This window comes from Homo sapiens, chromosome X (assembly GCF_000001405.40).
Source record: "Homo sapiens chromosome X, GRCh38.p14 Primary Assembly".
NCBI lineage: Eukaryota > Metazoa > Chordata > Mammalia > Primates > Hominidae > Homo > Homo sapiens.
This window is the reverse complement of record NC_000023.11, coordinates 847,363-855,031: the sequence shown is the minus strand read 5'-3', so window position 1 is coordinate 855,031 and position 7,669 is coordinate 847,363. Positions and strand designations below refer to the sequence as shown.

Genomic DNA, 7,669 nt, shown 5'->3' with positions numbered 1-7,669 from the left:
GGAAGAAAGAGAGGAGAAGAAGACAGAGAAAGGAACAAAAAAGAAAGGAGGAAGATAGAAAGGAAGGAAGGAAAGAAAGGAAGGGAGAGAGAGAGGGAATGGAGAAAGGAGGAAGGAAGGAAGGGAGGGAGGGAGGGAGGAGAGGAAAATGAGGAAAGATGGAAGGAAGGAGGGAAGGAAGGAGGGAGGGAAGGAAGGAAAGAAGGAAAGAAAGAAGGAAAGAAAGAAGGAAGGGAGAGGTAGGGAGGGAAAGAAAGTAGGGAGGGAAGAAAGGAAGAAAGAGACAGAAAGAAAAAGAATGAATGAAAGAGAAAGAGGAAGGAGAAAGAAAAGAAAGAAGAGAGTATAAAGAGGGAGAGAGAGAGAGAAAGCCATTTTTACACGATCACAGAACCTAGGAATTACTTTTACTATAAAATATCTTTAACACGTCAATGATCCTATGGTTGGAATTTTAGGTCAACAACGCTGTTTCATTTTACTGTCAAGAGTGAAAAATCACACTGATGTGAAATTGGGAGTAAGATTTTTTAGAGAAAGTTCAGCATAGGTCATCGGGCTGAGCACCTGGTCCTTTGGACAACAGTCAGTCACAGCGTGGGTATGGTAATTGAATATTTGGTACACTCATTTTGTATTAAAAAAATACACCCCTGGCAGGGCGCAGTGGCTCACACCTGAAATCCCAACACTTTGGGAGACCAAGGCGGGCAGATCAGTTGAGGTCAGGAGTTCGAGACCAGCCTGACCAACATGATGAAACCCTGTCTCTACTAAAAACACAAAAATTAGCCGGGCGTGGTGGCGTGCACCTGTCATCCCAGCTACTCGGGAGGCTGAGGCAGGAGGATCGCTTGAACCCAGGAGGCGGAGGTTGCAGTGAGCCAAGATCGCACCACTGCACTCCAGCCTGGGCAACAACAGCGAAACTCTGTCTCAAAAAATAAACAAATAAACACAGTCCTCGGTTCCTCTTGTCATCTCCCTCTTCTATTTATGACTCTTACACGTTCAAAACAGCAATTCCAGAATCAAATCATCATACATCACTGCACTGGTATTGTCCTGTTTCGGTATTTGCAAGTATTTTGGGGCTGGGCGCAGTGGCTCACGCCTGTAATCCCAGCACTTTGGGAGGCCGAGGCGGGCGGATCACTTGAGGTCAGGAGTTCGAGACCAGCCTGACTAACATGGTGAAATCCCATCTCTACTAAAAGTACAAAAATTAGCGGGTCATGGTGGCGGGCACCTGTAACCCCAGCTACTTGGGAGGCTGAGGCAGGAGAATCGCTTGAACCCGGGAGGCAGACGTTGCCGTGAGCTGAGATCACGCCACTGCACTCCAGCTTGGGTGACAGAGCGAGGCTCCATCTCAAAAAAAGGAAAAAGAAATTTGTCTCTTTTCAGGACTAAGGAAAGCAATCATGTTATGCGCACAACAACCATCCTGCTTTGAGTTCAAACACCAAAGAAAACCTCGTGCTGGCTCATTTCCCTTAACGTTAAGTTGTTGCAAAGTGGTGAGACTTCTTCCTTTTTGATGGCTGAATAGTATTCCATGGTGTGTGTGTATCACATTTTCTTTATCCATCCCCCACTGATACTTAGGTTAATTCTACATGTTGGCTCTCGTGAATAGCCTTGCAATGAACATGGGGGTGCAGACCTCCCCCCTTTTTTTTTTGATATACTGGTTTTATTTTCTGCGGATGCATACCCAGAAGTGAAATAAGACAAATGCAGCCAGTTCTCACTCCCATGTGGAAGCTAAAAGAGTTGATCTCCTGGCCGGGCACGGTGGCTCACACCTGTCATCTCAGCACTTTGGGAGGCTGAGGCGGGCAGATCACCTGAGGTCAGGAGTTCAAGACCAGCCTGACCAATACGGAGAAACTCCGTCTCTACTAAAAATACAAAAAGTAGCCAGGTGTGGTGGCACATGCCTGTAATCCCAGCTACTGGGGAGGCTGAGGCAGGAGAATCGCTTGAACCCGGGAGGCGGAGGTTGCAGTGAGCCAAGATCATGCTATTGCACTCCAGCCTGGGTGACAAGAGCAAAACTCTGTCTCAAAAAATAAATTATATAAAAAAAGAGTTGATCTCCTAGGAATAGACAGCACAGTGGTGATTACCATAAGCTGGGGAAGGGAGAGAGAAAGAAGGGATGGAGAGAGGTTGGTCCATGTGTACAAAGTTACGACTAAATAGGACTAAATTCTGTTGTTTTAATTCTCTGCAGGGTGACAATACTTAACAAGAATATATTGTATATTACAAAATAGTCCAAAGAGAGGATTTTGTTGGTGGGAAGTGTGGGAAGGGGACGAGGGATAAAAGACAACAAATTTGATACAATGTATACTGCTCGGGTGTTGGGCGCACCACGTTCTCAGAAATCTCCATTGAATAACTTCCTCATGTCACCAAATACCACCTGTACTCCAATAACTTATGGAAAAGGGGAAGATACATATTGCAGGGCATGGTGGCTCATGCCTGTAATACCAGCACTTTGGGAGGCTGAGGCGGGTGGATCACCTGAAGTCAGGAGTTCAAGACCAGCGTGACCAGCATGATGAAACCCTGTGTCTACTGAAAATACAAAATTAGCCAGGCGTGGTGGCTCATGCCTGTAATCCCAGCTACTCGGAAGGCTGAGGCAGGAGAATTGCTTGAATCTGGGAGGTGGAGGTTGCAGTGAGCCGAGATCATGCCATTGCACTCCAGCCTGGGTGACAAGAGCGAAACTCCGTCTCAAAAAAAAAAAAAGATACATATTCCTCAGCCACCGGAAAATGAGATTTCTGAGCAGCTGGATCTCATAATTACTGTGAGTTGTCATTACATGATATACACATGCTTGGAAACATTATATTATATGTCATAAATGTGTACAATCATTATGGAGATTTTTTCTTGAGACAGGGTCTTGCTCTGTTGCCTAAGCTGGAGTGCAGTGGTGCAATCACGGCTCAGTGCAGCCTCTACCTCCTGGACTCAAACGATCCTTCCACCTCAGCCTCCCCAGTAGCTGGAAATACAGGTCTGCACCAGTAGGTCCAGCTAATTTTTGTATTTTTTTTTTTTTGGAGATGGGGTCTTGCTATGTTGCCCAGGCTGGCCTTGAACTTCTGGCCTTCTGATTCTCACACCTCAGCCTCCCAAAGCGCCGGGATTACGAGCGTGAGCCACTGCGCCTGATCCAAACGATAATTGTTAAACATAAAATAAAACTGTAGAAAAGAAGAAAATCTAATGGCGGTTTTTGTCTTTTCATTGGCTCTGTGTTACTTTGTAGCTGCAACTTTTCTTTCCTTCATTAAGTCAGTTCCAAATTTGCAAACTTGAGTGAAAGGTGAGTGAGTTTTCTGTGTATCTTCTTGGCATGGGGTGGTGAGTGTGGGTGCCCGTGTGTGTGTGTGTGTGTGTGTGTGTGTGTGTGTGTGTATTTGTATGTCCAGGGTTCCTCCATATCCCTGCAGAGACTTGGGGCTCCTTAATATCCATATAATTTCTATTTTGACCAGAAAGAGGAAGAGTCAACGTTTTGGAAACTCCAAACTCCACCAAGGGCTTGGCTGAAACAGGTGTGTGTCGTTTCTCCCACCAGCCACCTCGCCTGCGAATCTTGGAACTTATCTTAATGAGAGTTGCCTCTGCCCACAGCTCTGCTATGAATAATGTTTTTGTATGTAAAGGAGAAGCAAAAACATTTTTTTGACCTCTTGGAGCACGGAAATCAATAAGAAGTTGATAAAGCAAAGTCTGTGCCTGCCGAAAATAAAACAAGTGTGGTTTGTTTATTCACCAAAACCTTCGCGTTGTCAGGCCTGCCTCGAGATGATTTATAGACCAACACCCCACGAAAATCATTTAAAGCAGATTAGGTTCCTAGGACAATCCCCTCTAATATGACAAGCTGATAGGGGCTGACAGGTAACTAGGTTGCTCAGGATGGCAAGCCAGTTCCAGAAATTCTGATGAAATTAAAATATTAATGGTACCGCCGGGAGAGGAAGATTGAGTGCAAGGTGGGTGAATTCTGTATGAGGACCGAGGTGCAAACACAACGTCGCAGTCGCTGTGCTGGAAGCAGAAGCCTGGGGGTGCCAGGGGAAGTTACCTTTGCTAAACCCAAAAGCAGGGCCTGCATTGCAATGGACTGTGCGGTGCTGGGGGCAGGGTGGGGACAACGCACCTGCCAGGCTCAGAGGGGAACACGGAGCTTCCCTAATCACCTCCTCTCTCCTGCAGCTGCAAAGGTGATGGCCACAGACCCTCGTCTCTGCAGCTCTTAATTCGCCGGTAGCCTCTCCCGTGCCCCTCTGCAAATGCCCGTTTGCAGGGTACTTTAAACCAATATGCAAATGAGCCCCCAGCACAATCACTGTGTACAGACTCTCCAGGAAACTGTCTTGTGCCGGCTGGATGAAAGCTTATTGCTGTGTGCGTGTGTGTGTGTGTGTGTGTGTGTGTGTGTGTGGTTTTGTTTTTACCCTGCAGAGAAAAATGCAAAGAATCTTGCCCCGGCCACAGGAAAAGGAGATTCCTCAGCAGTGTACATTTGCTTCTTTCTTTCTTTCTTTCTTTCTTTCTTTCTTTCTTTCTTTCTTTCTTTCTTTCTTTCTTTCTTTCTTTCTTTCTTTCTTTCTTTCTTTCTTTCTTCCTTTCCTTCAGACACAGTCTGGGTCAGTCGCCCAGGCTGCAGTGCAGTGGTGCGATCTGGGCTCACTGCAACCTCCGCCTCCCAGGTTCAAGCGATTCTCCTGCCTCAGCCTCCCAAATAGCTGGGACTACAGGTCTGAGCCACCACACCCAGCTGATTTTTGTACTTTTAGCAGAGACGGGGTTTCACCATGTTGGCCAGGCTGGTCTCGAACTCCGGACCTCAAATGATCCACCTGCTTCAGCCTCCCCAAGCGCTGGGATCACAGGCATGAGCTGCCTCTGCACCTGGCCTTGCTCATTCATTTCTACACCATTCGTAACTGTGAAGCGATTCTCGTCTGGGCCCCTTAAACGCGTTCTGCCAGATTCTGAGGATGGAATTGGCAAACACTATGGACAAAGTTCTACCGATGACACCCCGTGTTCTACTAAACCGGAGTGACTTCAGGTACAAGCAACCTGGTATCAATTAAAAAACAAACAGGGCAGGTGCGGTGGCTCATGCCTGTCATCCCAGCACTTTGGGAGGCCGAGGCGGGCGGATCACCTGAGGTCCGGAGTTCGAGACCGGCCTGGCCAACATGGTGAAACCCCGTCTCTACTAAAAATACAAAATTATCCAGGCGTGGTGGTGTGTGCCTGTAATCATGGCTATTTGGGAGGCTGAGACAGGGGAATTGCTTGCACCTCGGAGGCGGAGGTTGCAGTGAGCCAAGATTGTGCCACTGCACTCCAGTCTGGGCAACAGAGCCAGAATCTGTCAAAAAAAAACCAGAGAAAGAAAGAAGAGAGAGAGAGAAAGAAAAAGAAAGAAAGAAAGAAAGAAAAGAGAAGAGAGAGGAAGGAAAGAAGGAAGGAAGGAAACAAAGAAAGAGGAAGGAAGGAGAAAGAAAGAGGAAGGAAGGAAGAAGGAAAGAAAGAAAAGAAAAGAAAAGAAAGAAAGAGGAAAGAAGGAAAGAAAAAAGAAAGAAAGAGGAAGGGAGGACAGAAGGAAGAAAGAAAGAAGGAAAGAAAGGAAGGAAGGAAGGAAAAAAGAAAGAAGGGAAGGAAGGAAAAGAAAGGAAAGAAAGAAAGAGAAAAGAAAGAAAGGAAAGAAGAAAGAAAGAAAGGAAAGAAAGAAGAAAGAAAGAAGAAAGAAAGAAAGAAAGAAAGAAAGAAAGAAAGAAAGAAAGAAAGAAAGAAAGAAAGAGAAAGAAAAAGAAAAAAAAAAAGTTAAGCCCTCAACAGCTTAGGAAAGCTTTGGTTGCTCAGACAGAGAAACGAATAAATGGTTCAGAGATGGGTAGTTGGGTGGGGTGGGAGGCGCTTATTCTCAGGAAGCAATTCCCCAAAAGCAAATGAGATCCTTAAAATACTGAAACTCTCTCCAAAAAAAAGAAAAAAGAGGAAGCAGACGGCGTTTTGGAGGCCAGGCTTCCAGAGGGGAGCTCTTGGTGGTGTTCAGAAGGAGCTTGTGTTTGCTTCCAGTGTAGACTTTTACAACCTTAAGGCTACAAATTATAGACGCAGGAAAGGGCACCAGCTCTGCTGCAAGAGTATTACACAGACAACTGGTTTTTGTTTTTGATTTTGAAACTGGGTTCATTTTTATCTTTGAGAATGTGAGCAAAGTGACCCCTATGTGCAGAATCACTGAGGTCCTGCATTGCAGGGTGACCCTTGGCTGGACAGACTCAGGGACAGGGAGGCAGCTGGAGCAGACAGGCCCTGTCAGTCACCCCAGCCACCACTACCCGGGGCTCTGGAGTCCTAGGCCAGGCCGAGGCTGCTGGCCACTTTCATCCCAGGAGAGGTGGACGTCAGGAGTGAGTTTTACGGTGGGAACAGCTTGATGTGACCGTCTCAGAGCTCGGCTGTTCCCAGGCTGACTCCATCTCAGGTTTCTTGCATTCATGACTGGGTGTCCTAAAAATTCAGAAAGTGTTTCTTGTAAGAGGAAGAGAGAGAAACCCCATGCAGGGAAACTCTAGAGGGTCCACTGGCTGTGTCCTTCCCTACACAGCGCTGCCCCAGCCACACATGTCGCCCGATGGGGCCAGAAAACCTGCTTACACCTCACTCTTTGCTCTAAAATAAAATCATGTTGGTCCAGGCTGTGGGAAGCCCAAGGTGTTTTGTTACAAAATAAACGGATTTTATTTTTTTTTGCTATTACTGTAAGATCTTGATCTAGAAAAGGAGACAAGAAGCATGTAAATATATATATTTTTATAAACATGGACATATATTTACATATTAATATGAACATGCATTTATCTATTAAACTCAAATATACATTTTATATACTAAATACAGATATACATTTTGTCTATTAAATATGAGTGTATATTTACATACTAAGTATGAATATACATTTCATATATTAATACAAATATATGTATTCATTAAATATAAAAATATACATTAAATATAAATATAATTTATACATTAAACATGTTTTTATACATTAAATATAAACATCTTTTATATATTAAACATAAACATATACATTAAATATAAACATATCTTATATATTAAATATAACTTATTTTTATATATTTTATATATTATACAATATATAAGGTATATATAATATATAATATATAAAGTATATATAAACTTATATGTTAAATATAAACGTCTTTTATACATTAAATATAATACATTTGGTACATTAAATAAAAACATCGTATACATTTAATATAAACATGTTGTATACATTAAACATAAACATTTTATACGTTAAATGTAAACATATCTTTCATATAAAATATAAACATACCTTATATATTATATATAAATATATTTTGGACATTAAATATAATAATATATTTGGTACATTAAATATAAACATTGTATACATTAAATATAAACATCTTTTATACATCAAACATAAACATTTTATCCATTAAATGTAAACATATCTTATATATTAAATATAAACATCTTTTATACATTAAATATAAGAATACGTTTGGTACATTTAATGTTTACAATACATTAAATATAAACATGTATTTTA

The 7,669-nt window shown here is 43.0% G+C and overlaps 2 annotated features.

Moving 5' to 3' along the window:
- Positions 3,467 to 4,217: an enhancer, noted in NCBI's record as "CNE8 PCR-amplified transgene fragment". NCBI's record gives its function as "enhancer in day 2 and day 3 zebrafish embryo skin, fin, central nervous system, muscle and heart" and the evidence as "EXISTENCE:transgenic organism evidence [ECO:0001131][PMID:21731768]".
- Positions 3,716 to 4,022: a conserved region, noted in NCBI's record as "conserved region; CRCNE00011103 more deeply conserved sub-region". NCBI's record gives the evidence for it as "EXISTENCE:sequence alignment evidence [ECO:0000200][PMID:21731768]".